This window comes from Homo sapiens, chromosome 13 (genome assembly GCF_000001405.40).
Source record: "Homo sapiens chromosome 13, GRCh38.p14 Primary Assembly".
Lineage (NCBI taxonomy): Eukaryota > Metazoa > Chordata > Mammalia > Primates > Hominidae > Homo > Homo sapiens.
Window position 1 is genome coordinate 42,865,102 of NC_000013.11, and position 20,316 is coordinate 42,885,417.

Sequence of the window (20,316 nt, forward strand, 5' to 3'; positions counted from 1 at the left end):
CTTCCCTCCTAATTTTACAGCACTGTGTACCAGGTGCGACAGTGATTGAGCGCTAAGTAAAGGTATTTTAACCTTCGAGACACCCTGGTTGGAGTTCACAATGAAATGAAATGCACCAGCCTCCCTCTGGTAGCCAGAGTCTCTGGCCATGCTCTTGTAGCAGAAGCTTCTCATTTGGAACAGCTCAGACTCCCTGGGCTCTTTGAAAGGATTGGTGGAGATGAGTTTCTATGTTTTACAATTGTGACAAAAATCCTCTGCTCATAGCCTAAGGGAGTGTGAAGTGGAGTACAGGGTGAGGGCCAAATAATCATGCACGGGACACGCAGCCAGAGTGTCTGGGATGCCAGGGGGGTGTCTGCTGAGCGATTAGGACAGGGCAGCAGACACAGTGATTAAATGGAGAGGAGGGGCTGCTGAAAATGAAAGAAAACGCTGCAACATGCAAAAGCACTGCCATGCTACACCACAGAAAATAATGGATTAAATAATCGACTTAAATCCTTTTGCATCTGGGTGAAACCCAAGTGAAACCAAGTAAATTAACTCAAAAGGTTTCTGGACCAGCAACTTACCTTCAAGGCTGTTAATGTAAGCTGTTCTTTCTCCCTGAACTTCATTATAGACAGGATAACTTTTTCCTGATTCGCTTAGGACAGTCCCAGCTTACACTTCCTGTCTCAGTATCTTATCTCTTTCAGCATTTGTCTGAGATTTTTAAAGGAAAGTATTATGGTTAATAGTTGCATTACAGTTAGCCAGGATGGGTTCAGCAGACTTCTGGAGCAGATGCTGTGATGTCATCCCAGAGTCTCCTCAAGACTGAAGGGCTACTCCACCAGCTGCAGCGAGGGCTTCTGGCAGAGATCCCCAGCTGTCAGCCCTCATCGGAATTGCTTCAAATGAAGAGTGTCATCTCACCCACCACCATGCCCTCTTCCCAGGGTGCCCACAGCCAAGAACTGGTTTATAAGGAGATATAAAGGTCTGGCCCCCACTTTGTCTAGAGCTGGCCATGTGGTTGCTCTCTGTTGAGGCTGAATCATAGGCTGTGATGGTTAAGATTGAGTGTCAACTTGATTGAATTGAAAGATGCAAGGTATTGTTCCTGGGTGTGTCTGGGAGGGTGTTGTCAAAGGAGATTAACATTTGAGTCAGTGGACTGGGAGAGGCAGACCCACCTGCAGTCTGGGTGGGCACCATCTAATCAGCTGCTAGAATAAAGCAGGCTGAAAAAGGTAGAAAGAGCAGACTTACTGAGTCTTCTGGCCTTCCATCTTTCTCTCTTGCTGAATCCTTCCTGCTCTTGAACATCAGACTCCAAGCTCTTCAGCTTTTGGACTCTTGGACTTAGACCAGTGGTTTGCCAGGGGCTCTCGAGCTTACGGCCACAGACTGAAGGCCACATTGTCGGCTTCCCTACTTTTGAGGTTTTGGAACTCAGACTGGCTTCCTTGCTCCTTAGCTTGCAGACAGCCTATTGTGGGACTTCACCTTGTGATCTTGTGAGTTGATTCTTCCTAATAAACTCCCCTTCATATATACATCTATCCTATTAGTTCTTTCCCTCTAGTGAACCCTGACTAATGCATCAGCCAACTTCTCTTCCTGCCCCATCCTTCTTCCTTTCCCCTTCCAGAGGTGGTGATCCCAAGACCACTCCCTAGCAAACCTCCTGTCCACCACTCTCCATCTCCAAGTCTGCTTCCTGAGTAGGCCACAGCCTCTGACAATTGCCACTTGGTGCCTTCACTTTTTTTTTTTTTTTTTTTTTTGAGACAGGCTCTCAATCTGTTGCCCAGGCTGAAGTGCATTGGTGTGATCATAGCTCACTGCAGCCTCGGCCTCCCGGGTTAAGTGATCCTCCTCCCTCAACCTGCTGAGTAGATGGCACTACAGGTGTGTACCACCACACCTGGCTAATTTTTTAAATTTTTGTAGAGACAGGGTCTTGCTATGTTGCCCAGGCTGGTCTCAAACACCTGGCCTCAAGCGATCCTCCTGCCTCAGTCTCCCTAAACACTAGGAATACAGGCATGAGTCACTGTACCTGGCAGTGCTTTCACTTTCTGCTGTGGACTTGTCTAATGGTATACGAAACAAGAGCAGTCAACTGAGTTCCTACTCTTGTTAAACCAGAGGATGCCCAGGGATAACCCACCTCACTTTTCCCAGCCTTATCTAGACACACTACGTGGTAGACAACGATGTGATGTCCAGCTACCTCTTCAAAGGAGGACTTGAGGAGGCTGAGGCAGGAGGATTGCCTGAGCCTGGGAGGTTGAGGCTGCAGTGAGCTATCATCATGTCACTGCACTGCACATACCCCACTGTGGGTGGTACAGAGACAGCCTCTGGCCAAGACTTTGTCATGCCCATATCACTGCTGGACATCTTTCACTGCCCAATCCTGCTTCTTCTCTCTTCCACAGGTGTTGGTGCCAAATAAACCTCGGGCCCTAAACTTCTAGGCATCTGCCTCCGGAGAATCCAACCTGCAACACAACTTAACTAACACCTTCCTTTCCAGGACAGCTTATGGGGTGCTCCCTTATCAAAGAAAGGGTGCTAGCAGCTACAGGCAGCACACTCTTTTTATCTGGGATAATGGTGAGAGAAGATTTGGTGCTGTGGTCCCTGCTGGCCCCTTGATGTACCAGCCAACTGTAGTGACTTCAATTTGAGATGCCTGAAGATAGCAGGATGCCATTCAGTGCTGTCAGTGGAAAACACCGGACATTTTAGTCTAGGTATATATACAATATTTATGGAAAATAGAGGTCAAGAATTCCTGCCACATAGCATATGAAGAAAGAGTCTAAATGCTCTTGCAACAGCGGTTTTAACATTAATGGTATGCTGTATAAATCGACAACTATTAAATAATATTATTTGGTAACTTTCATGCACGTCCGTGTGAAGAGACCACCAAACAGGCTTTGTGTGAGCAATAAAGCTGTTTATTTCACCTGGGTACAGGTGGGCTGAGTCCGAAAAGAGAGTCAGCGAAGAGAGATAAGGGTGGGGCCGTTTTATAGGATTTGGGTCAGTAAAGGAAAATTACAGTCAAAGGGGGTTTGTTCTCTGGCGGGTAGGAGTGGGGGTCGCAAGGTGCTCAGTGGGGGTGCTTTTTGAGCCAGGATGAGCCAGGAAAAGGACTTTCACAAGGTAATGTCATCAGTTAAGGCAAGGACCGGCCATTTACACTTCTTTTGTGGTGGAATGTCATCAGTTACGGTGGGGCAAGGCATATTCACTTCTTTTGTGATTCTTCAGTTACTTCAGGCCATCTGGGCGTATACGTGCAAGTCACAGGGGATGCGATGGCTTGGCTTGGGCTCAGAGGCCTGATATTCCTGCCTTCTTATATTAATAAGAAGAATAAAACAAAATAGTGTTGAAGTGTTGGGGCGGCGAAAATTTTTTGGGGGGTGGTATGGAGAGAGAATGGGTGATGTTTCTCAGGGCTGCTTCGAGCGGGATTAGGGGCGGCGTGGGAACCTAGAGTGGGAGAGATTAAGCTGAAGGGAGGTCTTGTGGTAAGGGGTGATATTGTGGGGTTGTTAGAAGAAACATTTGTCGTATAGAATGATTGGTGATGGCCTGGATACGGTTTTGTATGAATTGAAAAACTAAATGGAATAACAGAAGGAGAAAAACAGGTATAAAAGGTCTAAGAATTGGGACGACTCAGGATGTCTGATTAGAGAGTGTTTAAGGAGATTTGGCATAGTCCTGCCAGCAAAGATTATTTATTTACTTCAAGAGTTAAGAGTGGCAGTTTGGGGATAGCACCAGGAGATATCAGCTGTGATGGCTTGGAAAAACAGTGTAAACTGGCAGTGTAAACAAGAGCAGGGCATGTATGAGTAGTTGAGAACGGTGAATAGGAGTATGAGTAGACAGAAGATAGTAGGGATGACAAGTTTTTTTGTTTTTTTTGAGGCACAGTCTAAGTTGGTCTGGTGTCTGGAATGAGACTGGGGCGTAATAAAAAGGAGTGTCTATACAGGACCTTAAATGGGCTGTACCCTGTAGCATTACGAGGACAGGCCTGAATTCTGAGAAGGGAAAGTGGTAAAAGTATTGTCCAGTCCTTTTTAAGTTGGTGGCTGAGCTTGGTGAGGTGTGTTTTTAAAAGACCTTTAGTCCATTCTACTTTTCTTGGAGGACCATAAGGGATATAAAGGTTTCACTGAATACTAAGAGCCTGAAAAAATGCTTGGCTGATTTGACTAATAAAGGCTCATCTGTTATCAGACTGTATTAAGGTGGGAAGGCTAAACTGAGGAATTATGTCTGACAGAACGAAAGAAATGACTGCGGTGGCCTTCTCGGACCCTGTAGGAAAGGCCTCTACTTATTTTGAGGGCCTCTAAAAGTATTAAAGCAGCAGCAGCCGCTGCACGCAGACATGAGGGCTAGGCTAAAACAGTAAGGTCAAGTTGTTTGGACAGAAAGGCTACAGGGTGTGGTCCTGGCTCTTGTGTAAAAATTCTGACCGCGCTAACCATGCCTAGGAAGGAAAGGAGTTGTTTTGTAGAAGGTGCTTGGGTTTGAGAGATCAGTCGGACACGATTGGCAGGGAGAGCACGTGTTTTTATGAGAATTATGCCGAGATAGGTAACAGATGAGGAAGAAATTTGGGCTTGATTGAAGTAATGGGGGCTGTCTGAGAAGCTTTGCGGCAGTACAGCCTAGGTAATTTGCTGAGCCTGATGGGTGTCAGGGTCAGTCCAAGTGAAAGCGAAGAAAGGCTGGGATGAAGGGTGCAAAGGAATAGTAAAGAAAGCATGTTTGAGATCTAGAACAGAATAATGGGTTGTAGAGGCAGGTATCGAGGATAGGAGAGTATATGGGTTTGGCACCACGGGGTGGATAGGCAAAACAATTTGGTTGATAAGGCGCAGATCCTGAACTAACTTGTAAGGCTTGCCTGGTTTTAGGACAGGTAAAATGGGGGAATTGTAAGGAGAGTTTATAGGCTTTAAAAGGCCATGCTGTAGCAGGCGAGTGATAACAGGCTTTAATCTTTTTAAAGCGTGCTGCGGGATGGGATATTGGTGTTGAGTGGGGTAAGGGTAATTAGGTTTTAATGAGATGGTAAGGGGTGCATGATCGGTCGCCAAGGAGGGAGTAGAGGTATCTTATACTTGTGGGTTAAGGTGGGGGGATACAAGAGGAGGACGCAAAGGAGGCTTTGGATTGGGAAGAAGGGCTGCAATGAGATACAGCTGTAGTCCAGGAATAGTCAGGGAAGCAGATAATTTAGTTAAAGTGTCTCAGCCTAAAAAGGGAACTGGGCAGGTGGGGATAACTAAAAAGGAGTGCTTAAAAGAGTGTTGTCTAAGTTGGCACCAGAGTTGGGGAGTTTTAAGAGGTTTAGAAGCCTGGCCGTCAATACCCACAACAGTTATGGAGGCAAGGGAAACACGCCTTGAAAAGAGGGTAATGTGGAGTGAGTAGCCTCCGTATTGATTAAGAAGGGGACGGGCTTACCTTCCACTGTTAGAGTTACCCGAAGCTCGGCATCCGTGATGGTCTAGGGGGCTTCCGAGGCGATCGGCCGGTGTCAGTCTTCAGCCGCTAAGCCGAGAAGATCTGGGAAGGAGTCAGTCAGAGAGCCTTGGGCCAGAGTTCCAGGGGCTCTGGGAGTGGCTGCCAGGTGAGTAGAACAGTCCGATTTTCAGTGGGGTCCCACACAGATAGGACACGGCTTAGGAGGAATCCCAGGCTGCGGGCATTCCTTGGCCCAGTGGCCAGATTCCCGGCACATGTAGCAAGCTCCTGTGGGAGGAGGTTCTGGAGGAACGCCTGGCCGCTGCCGTTCAGGCATTTGGAAGTTCTTGTGTGCTGGAGATGTGGCTGGGGTTTGTCTCACAGTGGAGGCAAGGAATTGCAACTTTTTTCTATTATTGTACACCTTGAAGGCGAGGTTAACTAAATCCTGTTGTGGGGTTTGAGGGCCGGAATTTAATTTTTGGAGTTTTAATGTCTGGAGCAGATTGGGTAATAAAATGTATTTTGAGAATAAGACGGCCTTTTGACCTTTTAGGGTCTAGGGCTGTAAAGCGTCTCGGGGTTGCTGCCAAACAAGTCATGAACTGGGCTGGATTTTTATATTTGATGAAAAAGAGCCTAAACGCTTCTGATTTGGGATAAAGAAAAAGGAGCATTAACCTTGACTATGCCTTTAGCTCCAGCCACCTTTTTAAGAGTAAATTGCTGGGCAGGAGGGGGAGGGCTAGTCACGGAACGAAACTGTAAGCCCGACCAGGTGTGAGGAGGGGAGGCGATAAAAAGATTATAGGGTGGAGGAGCAGAGGCTGAGGAAGAATTGGGACCTAGCTCGGCCTGGCGAGGAACAACCTGGGGAGGAAGGGAGAGGTCAGATGGGTCTGCAGAAAAGGAAGATTAGAAAGACTCAGCGACACTTGGGGTTGGTACTGAGGGGACAGGCGGGAGGGAAAGAAGGAAGATTTGGGACGAGTTGCACTGGTCACAGAGACTAGGAAGGGACTGATGTGTAAAAGAATGCCTGGACGTCAGGCACCTCAGACTGTTTGCCTATTTTACGACAAGAATTATTGAATTTTGCAGGATGGAAAAATTCAAAGTGCCATTTTCTGGCTATTTGGAACTACTGTCGAGTTTGTATTGGGGTCAAGCAGCATTGCAGAAGAAAATAAGGCATTTAGGTTTTAGGTCAGATGTGAGTTGAAGAGGTTTTAAGTTTTTGAGAACACAGGCTAAGGGAGAAGAAGGAGGAATGGAAGGTGGAAGCTTACCCATAGTGAAGGAGGCAAGCCCAGAGAAAAGAGTAGAGACAGGGAGAAGGGGCGGAGGGTTCTTGCCCTCCAGGAAAGCAGAGAAGGGGTTGGGGCAGGGAAATAAGGGATTGGGGCACAGAGATAAGAGGTCAGGGTGCAGAAATAAGTGATTGGGGCACAGAGATAAGAGGTTGGGGTGCGGCGGAAATAAGCGATTGGGGGGTTCTTGCCCCCTAGGAAAGCGGGACTTGCCGCTAAGGGTGAAGGAGAAGGGGTTGAGGGGTACTTGCCCCTGCCCCAGGAAAGCAGCACTTGCTGCTAAGGGTGAAGGGGAAGGGGTTGAGGGGTACTTGCCCCTGCCCCAGGAAAGCGGGACTTGCCGCTAAGGGTGAAGGACCAAGGCAGGCGTCCCTGCATGGTCTGACACCCTTGAAACGTGAGTGTATACTCAGAGAGGCGTCCCTGCAATGATCAAACACCAAGGGAAGGCTGCCTTCCCAGTCCGTGACCGGCGCCGGAGTTTTGGGTTCACGGATAAAACATGTCTCTTTTGTCTCTACCAGAAAATGAAAGGAATTGAAATTAAGAGAAGGGAGAGATTGAAGTGTGGCGCCACGATTGAAAGGAGAAAGAGGTTGAGGGATAGTGAGGGAGGTTGGAGAAGAGAGTAAAAAGAGGCCGCTTACCGGATTTGAAATTGGTGAGATGTTTCTTGGGCTGGTCGGTCTGAGGACCTGAGGTCGTAGGTGGATCTTTCTCATGGAGCAAAGAACAGGAGGACAGGGGATTGATCTCCCAAGGGAGGTCCCCCAATCCGAGTCACAGCACCAAATTTCATGCGCGTCCGTGTGAAGAGACCACCAAACAGGCTTTGTGTGAGAGCAGTAAAGCTGTTTATTTCACCTGGGTGCAGGTGGGCTGAGTCCGAAAAGAGAGTCAGCGAAGGGAAATAAGCGTGGGGCCGTTTTATAGGATTTGGGTAGGTAAAGGAAAATTACAGTCAAAGGGGGTTTGTTCTCTGGCGGGTAGGAGTGGGGGTCGCAAGGTGCTCAGTGGGGGTGCTTTTTGAGCCAGGATGAGCCAGGAAAAGGACTTTCACAAGGTAATGTCATCAGTTAAGGCAAGGACCAGCCATTTACACTTCTTTTGTGGTGGAATGTCATCAGTTACGGTGGGGCAAGGCATATTCACTTCTTTTGTGATTCTTCAGTTACTTCAGGCCATCTGGGCGTATACGTGCAAGTCACGGGGGATGCGATGGCTTGGCTTGGGCTCAGAGGCCTGACAGTAACACGTTTTAACTTTGCAAAAAATGTTTTGGCATTAATGGGCTCAAAAAGTGAAAGGAAATGTGTAATGGAAAATCAAATACTTTGTTCATGAGAATGTTAATGACAAACCTATAAATCCCAAAATGTTTATCAACACTTACCATGGGGGCTATATGACATCACTCACCACATGAAAAATAGAAAACACGAATCTGCTAAACTATTAGTATCTACTCTCATTCGAGAGTACATTTGAGATACATACTGTGCATGAACATGAGGACTTGACACGTGCAGACAAGGAAAGTATCCTGTGAAGCATGGCTTTTCATTTGGATCAAATGACTGCCTCTCTAAATCTGCACTCTGTGTCTGTTGTACACATACAAAAAGTGAAGCTGATGGGGTTCAGGGCATGCTGCTCCAAAATATGGTTCCTTGGCGTATTGAATATTTTAAACGGAAGAAATTTGAGGAAAACAGCAGAAGCGGGAAAGTGTCTCTGACTTTCCCCCAGCCTCCTTCCCTGATGCAGTTCATAAAACCTAGGAAAGATTTTCTGACCTTCCCCTGAAAGAGGTCATAGACTCTCATGTAAGATGTGCCCTCTCTATGCCAGGAAGAAAGGAACATCCTTATCCCTGAAAACAAAAGGTCACAGAAGGGAAACTGAACAAACTGGCCTTGCTGAGTTTCCCCAGTTTATAATCATCATGTCATACTTTTCACCCTATTATATTTCTCTATGACTCTCCTCTCTTCATCAAACCCAGCATAAAAATACACAGGTTTAAAAAATACACAGGTTTAACTGTTTCTTCAGGTATTTATTTCCTTATGAAAGCTCCCATTTCATGTAAAATGCATGTTAAATAAACATGTAAGCTTTTCTCTGGTTCATCTGTCTTTTGTTATAGGGGCCTCAGCCATGAACCTAAGATGGAGAGAGGAAAAGCTGGTCTCCTCCCCTACAAAGCGATAGATGGTAAGGTGCTGGATCCAATGGCAGAAAAAAAAGTTTCAAACAATTAAATGATGCCACTTTTATAGAAATGGAGTCAGATGCTTCATATTGGAAAACAGTTATTTTCAACAATGATTCCTTTTATTTTCATCCAATTCATGGTATCAAAGTAAAACATTTGGAATTTTATTTTGCTGACGGTAAAAACATCTGATATTACTAGAGTGAGATGTCATTGTAAATCCAGTTAAATGAATCAGTGCTATCATAAATTGTTTTTAAAAGTTCAAACTAAAGTTATCTTTGTGTCATAATTAAGTACAAATTTTGGCATAGCACAGTGTCATTGTAAAAGCATGTTTTTTCTAAAGAATTATGGAGCAGAAATGTACTGGGAATTAGATGTGCAACATGATTCATACTTGTACTCAAACAAGTAGTGATAATCTACCAATCAAAATAGTAGCAGTCACGAAGAATTTATAAATATGATATATATGTATACACTTAAAATATCTAAACTATAGTTTTTGCAAAAATATGATTTTAAATACAAGGCAGTATCATGTGTTTTTCTCTCTTTGCTGTCTGCCATAAGGAGAATTTTAGAAATATTTGAGCATTGAAGAAATAATTTGTATATCAATCTAAGTATCTTTTTGTTGAATTCTTTTTAAAAATTAGCTCTCTAAATCTGGGCTGAATTTGTCCAAATCAGTTAGAAATCTTTGATCAGCACTTTCAATGAATAGAGTTTCAAAAAACTTTAGCTTTCCACATGTTTAGACAATTGGAATTATTAGTAACAAGTCTTAAAAACAAGAAGACACCAAAGTGTATCCCCACCAAAGCATGAAGAAACTAAACAAATTAAGTACGTTAAAAAGAGTATATTCTCAATCCTGATATGGTCTACAGAGAAGGTTCATTTCAAATTTATTAGTCATTAAATGCAAATTTGAAGAAAATATTGGGACAATTTTATTTAAAATTTTAACATAGCAAGACCATATAAGGAAAAGAAAACATTCTTTAGAAAAATAGAATGACATGGTATTTGAGACAAATGTGTTTTCAAAAAATGACTAAAGGGGTAATTATTCTGATTATATTATTGTAAAATTTCTACTTTTTATATATGTAAAGAAGTTTTAAAAGTTTTCTTTGGTGTACACAGATATATGTTATTCTACTTTCTAGAAAAAATATTTTTGAAATAGTGTTTCAAAATAATTATTTGGCAGATCCATCAAAAAATAAAAATGTATTTGTCAGTTAGTAAATTTTTGAAAAAAGATACCAGGATTTTTAGCACTTCATTTCACTCTTAAAAGTGTCCTGATTTGAAAGATGAATTCTATGGTATCAGCTTAAAAATCACAAATTTAGAAAGGAGACTTTGTTTGCTATAAAGACTCGCAGCCTACAATGTGGCCATTCTGACAGGCTGAGAAGTGTAGCTTCTGTGAGAAGCCTCTGTCAGCGGGTACTTCGAGGGAGGGAAGGATGAGACATACGTTTTGTTGAACAGGTTGGCCAAATATATGTATATATTCAACAGGTTACGGGAGGAGCTATGCAGTCTTTCGTCCAGATATTCATGAAGGGGGAACATGGCATGCATACTGAATAAACATGCATGTTACATGCATCTCATGCTTCCCTTAGGTGGAGACTTAACATTGAAATATATTACAAGTAAGCCCTATATGTCAAAAGGTGAAGCAGGGAAAGGAAGGCACTCAAATGCACAGCATCTGTAACTCGGCTGGAACTAGTCGATCTGTGGGTGGTCTCTTAGCAGGAGAAAAATACTGAAACCAGTCTTTTATTCAATCAAAGCTGTAGTTCTGGCTTGTGGAGCAGGGGGCCTCAGTTAGTCAGCTCTGCTGGTGGATGAGCTGCAATTGTTTAATATTGCTTATCTCAAGGCCAGCGCGTGTTTAGCTGCTAGAGAAAAAGAAAAACCTTGTGGCAGTTGGAACACAGTTTCTTCTTTAACTGTAGGAGTCCATGACTTAACATGGCCTTCGGTCCTGTTTATAATGTGGTATCTCATTGTGAACAAAGAGTCTGTTCTGACAGTCTCGTGATCTCTATTTCAACATTAATGCTGGTCAGATGTTGTGTCTAAACCACAAAAGGGAGGGAAGATAAAGAGGTGCATCTGACCTCTCGTCCTGTGATGGCCAGAAACTCAGTTTTTAAAAGGTTTCTCTGGGGTCCTCTTGGCCAAGAGGCAGCCTGTTCAGTTGACTGGGGAGCTAAGGACTTTAGTTTCAGTTCTCAATAATCATCCTAGTTACACAGTCATCAGACTCACCACACCCCAAAGAAAATGAATGTTCTGTGGTTCCCCTTTCTAGGGTCTCATAGGATCAAAGTTTCCCCAGGTTGAAAGGGCTCTCAAAGAAAAGGTATGTTAATTCTCTTGAAGTTTTCAAATTTCAGTGTACCTAGGGATTTCCTTGAGAGCCTGTTATGCAAATTCCTGGTCCCTGGTAACAAGATTTGTGATGTAAGTCAAGGATGGGGCCCAGGAGTCTGTATTTTTTCCAAGACCTCACCCTCTCCCCAAGGGATTTCTTTAGAGATGTACCTGGTCAATTCTGAAATCAACTTCTAAAAGCTTTTCTTGGCATAGAGTAGAAATCTATATCCCTAAAGTACCACCCACTAGTTCTAACAATCACATAGAAAAAAAAGAATGGATTTCTCTTCCTATGATAGACCTTTAAGTATGGGAGATGCCTGTCATCATTTCCAGAGTTCTATTTTATTCAGCCTAACTACTTCGGTCTCTTCTCCAACTCTTCTTCAATACACAACACACACACACACAAACTCCTACAAGGTTACCGAGAATAAAACGTATGCCAACAAGTACAGATTAGGGTGCTATGACTCAGGAACAATGTGTGTGAAAAAGTTTAAAGATTTTAGCTGATAGTAAACTCAATATGTGTCAACAGTATGAATCATTACAAGAGAGTAGGAGAAAGGAGCAGGAGAAGAGAGAAAAAGGAAGAACAAGAAAAAAAATCTCTGCCTCTGGTTGTTGATGGTATCAAATGAGATGCTGATTATGCAGACTTCCCCTAATGTACTCTGCTGTCATGTATATTTCTTTGATCAAATATCTTCCACTTCCTAGAATACCAGCTCCACTCCTCCCCTAAAGCAATGAGCTATTTTCAAAACCATTCATCTTTCAAGATTCAGCTCAAACATCAAGTCCTCAACTGCCCCAGGATAACTTACCTCTCTCTCCTTTAAACTCCCACTGTTCTTTACACAGCTCATCACACTCGATTGTTTACACATGGCTTACTGCACTTACCACCCCCCCCCCGCCCCGCCTTCTAATGTGCTGCCTGCATGATTTCCTTAGATATTATTCTTACTGTTCAGTGTCTATCTGTCCTAGAATATGAGCTCATGAGGGCAGCTTCTGTCTTATTTAATGCTATATCTCTGGTGCCTGGAAGAGTGCCTGGCACATAGTGAGCACTCCTGGGAAAATATAATTAAAAACGAAATGTCCTCCTAACCCAGAAAAGCTTTCTACAAAGGTAAAAGGAAAACTATTTTATTATTAAATAAGCATTAAACCAGAAAGTGATGCACATTACAGGCAATCTGCTAAAGAAATGGCAAAGACCAGAAAGAACTCTCACTCTTTTATAGCTAAGGGGATACAACCCATTACCATTAGTTAGGCTTTGCAATTTGGAGTCAGACAACAACTGAAGTTACACCCCTCTCCTCTTAGGAAACCGGAAGCTAAAGCCTTAGCTTCCTTGATGATTACATCAAGGAAGAGAGGACGTCCAGGTCCTTGAAGAAACACTCCAGATTGTGAGGTAGCCCAGAGGCTTATTTAGCCACTAAAAAGATTCACATACATAGAAAAGGACAGGGAAAACTTTTTTTTTTTTTTTTTTTGAGACAGTCTCGCTCTGCCGCCCAGGCTGGAGGTGCAGTGGTGCAATCGCCGGCTCACTGTAAGTTCCGCCTCCTGGGTTCACGCCATTCTCCTGCCTCAGCCTCCCCAGTAGCTGGGACTACAGGCGCCCACCACCACTCCCAGCTAATTTTTTTTATTTTTTAGTAGAGATGGGGTTTCACCATGTTAGCCAGGATGGTCTCGATCTCCTGACCTCGTGATCCGCCGGCCTTGGCCTCCCAAAGTGCTGGGATTACAGGCGTGAGCCACCGCGCCCGGCCAGGGAAAACATTCTGAAAGAGAAAAAAGGAGTGGAGAAATTTCTTCCCTTATTTTCGACAGGAAGATTTAAGCTCCTCATCTTACATTTTTACTTGCTCTTTCTGCACTTAATCACCACATGTTGAAAAAGTAAAAACTAAAAGATGGTTTTCCCTGTAATTAACTATAAACACCTAAGGGCAAGAGCTATGTGTTATTTTCCTACACAACACCAATATAGTGTGCACTCAACAAATGTTTGTGGAAAGAGGAAGGAAGGAAGGAAAAGAAAGAGAAACAGGAAAGAGAGAAGGAGAAAGAGAGGAAGGAAGGAAGGAAAAAAAGAAAAGGAGAAAGATGATTTTGACAACTGTAAAACAATCTCCACATTAAGGACTAAGCATTAAGGGAAGAGAATCAAATAACAGACAGATAAGCTGGGCCTATCATAATAGTTATTGACTCTTCATAAACCATCTCTACATGTACATTTAGTTATGCATTGGGTAATGGTTAAAATAGATACCTAGGGTGCTTTCCAAAACTGGATTCTACAGTTCCTAGGTCACGGACTTGGCTTGTCTCCAGTTGGCCTGCTTTTATAACCACCCAGTGGGTTTTTCTTGTCCACTGCCCAGATAGAGCTAATTTATGAAGGCAGGGGAATTGCAATAGAGAAAGAATTTTACACACATAGAGCCAGCTAAACAGGACACAGGAATTTATTATTACTCAAATTGGTCTCCTCAAAAATTCGAAGGCTAGGGTTTTTCAAGGATAAAGAGACGGGGGCACAGCTAGGCAATGGGTGCTTGCTGCTGATTGGTGGGGGTACAATCATAAAAGTGTGGGAAATGGTCCTCATGCACTGAGTCACTTCTGGGTGGGGTCACAGGAGCAACTAGTGGGTCCAGGTGGAGCCATCAGTGTCAGACATACAAAAAACTTGAAAAGACATCTCAAAAGCCAATCTTAGGTTCTAAAATAGTGATGTTGTCTGCAGGAGTAATTGGGAAGTAGCATATCTTGTGACCTCCGGAATAATGGCTGGCCATCGTTTATGCCTACACCTTAGCAGAATTCAGGCTCCTATCCTCCTACTAGTCTGGTGGTTTCTCATTAGCTTTGCAAAGGTGGTTAAGCTTGCGAGGAGGGTATTATCATTTATTTTTATTTCTTTATTTTTTATGTATTTATTTTTTTTGAGACAGTCTCCATCTGTCGCCCAGGCTGGAGTGCAGTGGCGTGATTTTGGCTCACTGCAACCTCTGCCTTCCGGGTTCACGCCATTCTCCTGCCTCAGCCTCCTGAGTAGCTGGGACTACAGGCGCCCAGCACCACGCCCGGCTAATTTTTGGTATTTTTAGTAGAGTCAGCGTTTCACCGTGTTAGCCAGGATGGTCTCCATCTCCTGACCTCGGGATCCGCCCACCTCGTCCTCCCAAAGTGCTGGGATTACAGGCGTGAGCCACCGTGCCCGGCAATTTAACCTATAAACTAAATGTCTCCCAAAGCTAGGTAGACCCAAGCCAAGGGATAATTAAGGGCAGTTTGAAGGCTAAAGGCAAGATGGGGGTTGGTTAAATCAGATCTCTTTCACTGCCATAATTTTCTCACTGTTACAATTTTTGCAAGGGAGGTTTCACTTTTCTCTCCTCCTCCACCTCCAAAGCTCCCTCCTCTTAAGTAGGGAGAATTCATTCGCACGTTTTTCAGAGCTCTGCACTGTAATTCATTCAGATCCAGACATTTCGGCTCATTTACAGCGGATGCATGCTCTCGCATAATCTCTACACCCATCTTGGGCTTCAATTTTCTCTTAACAATGTTCGTTCTACCCTTTTCAGTCCAAAGATCACTCTCCTTGACAGAGAAGACAGGACTAAATGGGAGGAAAGGAGTTCTGTTTTCTTCATGTCATCCATCAACATCACACCACTGGCCTCAGGCAGCGAGCCTCTTCCTTCCTTATTCTTGCTCTAAATTTAAGAGCCCTCCATTATCCTTACTTTCTTTTCTCTAAGCCTCAGCTCACTCTGGTCTTTGGCCCTTCTGATCTGTTACTGGTCCCTGCCTTTCTTCAACACAATCTTTGGCAGCGTGCCTCTTTCCACTTTTTGGCACATCTTTTTAAAATCCGAGTTTCTCAGTGGGAGTGTGCAGCCACCTTGGCTCCGAATGTCTTTTCCTTTTGTCTGCAGCATGAACAACATGTGTGATTGCAAAGATAGAATTATAATTTTGAAAGCTTACCAATTCTTTTGAGTTTCCTCTTGAGAAATAGAATTAAAACAATCTTTTCTTGAATTCATTAAAACCTGCCTTCTCCAATTGTTGAGTACCTGTCTTAGCATTCCAAGCCTCCTCCCTGCTTGGCTAGCACAAACCTTAAAACGACACACGCACTTCCTCAAAAGATTCCTTTATACCATAGAAGTGAAGTGCAGGAGGCAAAAAGATCCAATGGTTTTTTCTGACAATAGTCTCTGTAAAACATCACAAGAAACCAATTAAAGAGGATGGTAGTGAGCCTGAAATAAAAGGGAAAGTTGCTAAAGATATTGTGGTGGTAGAATTGATAATCCCTGCCAATGAATTATGCAGGGATAATTATGAGAAGGAAGGAAGACTGTTGAGGCCTGTAAGTATACATGGCCAGGTGATCTAGAAAATGGTGATAAGGTAGGAAGAAAGAAGGACCAACATTTTTAGTAATAAAGAAAGGAGTTGAGAAAGTATCTTTTCATTTAAAACTAATATAGTATTTCCCTTGCTACTCTCCTACCTTGCATTCCCATTTACCTTTTAAGAGCATTTATCCCATCAGTTTGTCTACAACCTATCCTGTGAGGTAAGGTGGAGATAAGAGATTTGTCCAAGGTTTCAACATTAGTGAATGGCAGAGCTACATTCTCATATCTTCCAGAAATCCCGTGGTTCCCCTTTCTTTTCCAAAATGCTATGGCTCATGGCATTGCTAACCATCTGCAGGGATTAAAGGACAGGCATTGCCTGTAAAGGGGCAAAGCCAGCCCTTTGGTTTGCATCAGCAGCTGCTGTTGGCGGGGTTTAGGTTTATTCATAACTGATTAGCTTAATATGATATCCTTATCCCAAGAATCTTTCTATCCTTGATTATCACACCTGGGGTTGGCCAATTAACTGGGACAAATTCCAAAACATTGAGAGAAGCTCTCTTCCAGGGTGTTTCTCCTCTCCTATATCTTGTCTCCCACTTCCAAGCAACAACCACACTAGTCTCTCTCTCTCTCTCTCTCTCCCTCTCCCTCTCTCTGTGTGTGTGTGTGTGTGTGTGTGTGTGTGTGTGTGTTCCGAGGTGAGCAGGCCTATACAAACCTACTTCCAAAGGCCAGGGAAGGTGAGGAGCTGAAGAAAGAAGCTGACAAGTCCAGATTCTCAGAATGAAATAATAGGGATTTATGAACAGAAGCCATATCTCAAGCAGCTGCGAATGGTGGATCCCTACAGTACACTGTTACCCCACAGACCCAGGGCTTACAAATCATAGGGAATTTGCCTAAGGGGAAGATATATGTGTTTACGATAACATCAAGGTTGTTTTGACCTAAGGGCAGGAATTATTCGTAATTATACACTCTTAACAGTAGATAAAATAGAAATTTTAGAGGCATTTTCGGAACTGGGGTTAATCAGAAGTCAACATGGCCAATTAGTATACAAGATGGAGTTACTCTAGCCTGAACATTCTTCTTCCTCAATGTCCCCCAAACACGTGCTTACCACCATCACTGCACCACTGTGGCTGCTTTAAATGTCCCTGCACTCAATCCTTCACCAGCCACCACCATACTTATTTCTTTCCATCTGTAAAAATTTTCCTCTTTTATCAAATCCATTCATTTACCAAATACTCATTGAATCACTACTATGTGCTAGGCACTGTTCAAGGAACTGGGAATACAGCATTGAACAAAACAATGTCCCCGAGCTCATGGAATTTTATTCTATAGTCTTTGAAACTCTTTATTGACCACATCAAATCTCCCTTCCTCTGAAATACTATAAATTTTGTATATATGGCCACATCACCATCAATGTATTTACACAGGCTAGAAATATGAAACTCATCTTTGATTCATCAGTCTCCATCTATATCTAGTCATTTACAAAGTCCTGACTTTATAAAATACGTCTACATTTACTATAACTACAATGTAATTTTTCTGAAGATACTTTCTGAAAGACAACTGAATCTCCAAATTAAATATGTAGGCTTCTTATCTTGATTTAATATCGTGAGAATTCCACATGCTCATTCTTTTGTCCTCATCCATACTCTCACGGCTCTAGCTCAGGACTCTCATCACGGGTCACCTTGAACTGATGTAATCACCTCCAGCCTCCTAACAGATTGCTCTGCTTCTGGGCTTTCCTCCCTCAAATCTCTTTCTTGGGTTCACTCATGATTTATTTAAAATAAAAAGCTAAATCTAATCAGGTCCATGCCCTGCTTATAACCTTTTAAAAGTTCAAGCTACTTGATATGGCACCAAAAGCCATTCGTGTTAGGTTTTTTATCTCATTGCTTTGCATAGCTTCTATCTCATTTTTCCTACTCTCTCTCTCTCTCTCTCTCTCTCTCTCTGTGTGTGTGTGTGTGTGTGTGTGTGTGTCTAACTCATACTAAAGTTCTTTAGTGGCTGGTTTGTACGATATTGTAGTCTCCATGCCTAGCATAGTGCCTGGCCTATATTAGTTCCTTACTAAAGTTTGAATTGAACTGGGTTTTTGATATTGTTTTGAATTTGTATGTGTCTTTGATCTTAAGCTTTCATATGTCTGTGTCTTCTTCAACTGTAGAATGTGTTCCTTGGGGGGATAATCAGGGTTATTTACAAATGTTCTTGTTCTCTTCCTCCTTTGTACGTTGCAGAAAATTGTAGGATTTTCTTTCCCACACCTTTAAAATTAGGAATAGCCACATGATTTGTTCTGGCTAATAACATGTGAACAGAAGTAGCATGTGTCATTTCCTGGAGAAAGCATTTCCTGGAGATAGCACAGAATACTGCCACTATGTCCTCCTCTTGGTGTATGGAAAGCATAAGAACAGACAGAGCCTTTCTCAGTCCTTGACTAAGGTGAGCAGAGGCTTCTGCTGACCTGTGCATAAAGTGCAGCATGGGCAAGAAACTATTGCTAATCCAAGAAGAGGTGGGGGCTGCTTATTGTGGTCACCATAACTTTGCCTATTCCGACTGCTCCATTGCCTGAGGACAGGACCTGTACCACTTAACTTTGTGTCTCCATTGTGCCACATTTAAAACAGACTATAGACATATATTTAAATGTTGATTTCTGATTTTTCTTAATTCACAATGTCCAATTTCAAATATCCCTCTCCCATCAGTTTCTGTTCTCTCCATACTAAAGCACAATTTCTACTCATTTTAGCTCAACTATGGTTTCTAAAACAGAAATTTCTAATCAGTTCATAATCTGGTGCCAATCACTGGTGTAAGGTTTTGTAGGGAATGAAATGTCACCCCCGATGACTGACGACGATTCCTTCAGCTCAGCTGTGGTCAGTGTCCTCCAGGGACGGTGAGAAGGAATGTTCAGAGCACATGCCCTGCAGCTGAGCAGCAAAGCAAAGGGCTTGTAATAAATCAGCTTCCTAGGGGAGGTGTGTGTTGCAGTACAGCTGTCCCTGTAGCCTCTGTCCCAGCAGATGGCACAACATGGCAATAAATGTCATGAAAATGCTTCTCCCATTTGCCTTTATATAAACCCTTCACTTCTGAGCATGTAATTCTGTGAGCAGAAAAAAAATGATAATCCTCTGTGATGCTTTTTAAACTCTATTGTTAAACAAGGGAATATTTTTAAAGGGAGGGAGGAATTCCAAATCAGAGCCCCTTCCTTGAAGGAATGCCTAACATGTATTTATTCTCTATGCAATCCTCATGGTAACTGGAGAGGCATATTCTTTCTCCACATGTAAATTTTATTATACCTCACTCCGATATTATTTCATGCACATCAGCACGGAGCTAGTTTCTAGATGTGCTAGTCCACTGAGTTATTAATAAAAACAAAGAGCCCACAACCTTCTATTTTCTTCTACTTGCTAATAGTTTCAGAACAATTCCTTTTACTTCCTCTGGCAGCCACACTTCCAAACACATCCTCTCATAACTGGACAAACAAGTCCAGCTAATTACAACCTATCTGCTTAATATCCTGAAATTTAAAATTAAGATTGTAGGCACTGTTTTTATGATTACATGTTTTTAAAAATTAGTTTTTAGCCAGAGTTATCACAAAACTTTGAATTTTAACTTGAAATTTTTGGCTTTATAAATGTCAAGGGTTTTACTTTAAAATATGTCTACATTTACTATAACTACAATGTAATTTTTCTAAATATACTTTCTGAAAGACAACCGAATCTCCAAATTAAATATGTAGGCTTCTTATCTTGATTTTTAAAAAATCGACCTAAAGAAAAAATGCAATGTTTCCTTTGAACATAAAGTATTTAGGGACCACAAGAAATGTCTCTAGTGTGAAAACATACACAAAAAAACATACAAAAAATGTGAGTTCTTAGGCCTATCCTGTGAATGGAATAAGATCTCCTGACCTGTATTATCTACAACTGTTAGCAGCAGTGAATCTGTACTGGTTGCCCCAACCTCAATTCTTGCCTCCTCAGAAGAAATTCAACCAAGGGGCATAAGGCAGAGAGACTGAGACAAGTTTTAGAGCGGGAGTGAGAGTTTATTAAAAAGTATTAGAGGCCTGGCACGGTGGGTCACACCTGTAATCCCAGCACTTTGGGAGGCCAAGGCGGGCGGATCACCTGAGGTCAGAAATTCAAGACCAGCCTGACCAACATGGAGAAACCCCGTCTCTACTAAAAATACAAAATTAGCCGGGCATGGTGGCATATGCCTATAATCCCAGCTACTCGGGAGGCTGAGGCAGGAGAATCACTGGAACCCAGGAGGCAGAGGTTGAGTGAGCCGAGATCGTGCCGTTGCACTCCAGCCTGGGCAACAAGAATGAAACTCTGTGTTAAAAAAAAAAAAAAAATTAGAGCAGGAATGAAAGGAAGTC

The 20,316-nt window shown here is 42.9% G+C and overlaps 1 long non-coding RNA gene across 2 annotated transcripts in view, besides 3 other annotated features; it reads right to left on the reverse strand.

The window, feature by feature from the left end:
• The window catches only part of LINC00428 (long intergenic non-protein coding RNA 428), a 30,333-nt gene extending 22,690 nt beyond the window's left edge, over positions 1-7,643 (reverse strand). The window contains exons 1-2 of one of the 2 annotated variants that reach the window (NR_126389.1): positions 7,457-7,643; positions 5,500-5,601 (exon numbers count right to left, since the gene is read on the reverse strand). This is a non-coding gene — a long non-coding RNA (long intergenic non-protein coding RNA 428). The remainder of the gene's footprint in view (positions 1-5,499; positions 5,602-7,456) is intronic. The other variant, NR_126388.1, reaches the window with a different exon arrangement.
• Positions 2,954-3,556: an enhancer, noted in NCBI's record as "OCT4-NANOG hESC enhancer chr13:43442191-43442793 (GRCh37/hg19 assembly coordinates)". NCBI's record gives its function as "activates a minimal SCP1, AML or CMV promoter by ChIP-STARR-seq in naive and primed H9 embryonic stem cells {active_cell/tissue: H9 hESC(naive and primed)}" and the evidence as "EXISTENCE:reporter gene assay evidence [ECO:0000049][PMID:30033119]".
• Positions 5,180-5,969: an enhancer, noted in NCBI's record as "H3K27ac hESC enhancer chr13:43444417-43445206 (GRCh37/hg19 assembly coordinates)". NCBI's record gives its function as "activates a minimal SCP1, AML or CMV promoter by ChIP-STARR-seq in naive H9 embryonic stem cells {active_cell/tissue: H9 hESC(naive)}" and the evidence as "EXISTENCE:reporter gene assay evidence [ECO:0000049][PMID:30033119]".
• Positions 7,550-8,338: an enhancer, noted in NCBI's record as "OCT4-NANOG-H3K27ac hESC enhancer chr13:43446787-43447575 (GRCh37/hg19 assembly coordinates)". NCBI's record gives its function as "activates a minimal SCP1, AML or CMV promoter by ChIP-STARR-seq in naive H9 embryonic stem cells {active_cell/tissue: H9 hESC(naive)}" and the evidence as "EXISTENCE:reporter gene assay evidence [ECO:0000049][PMID:30033119]".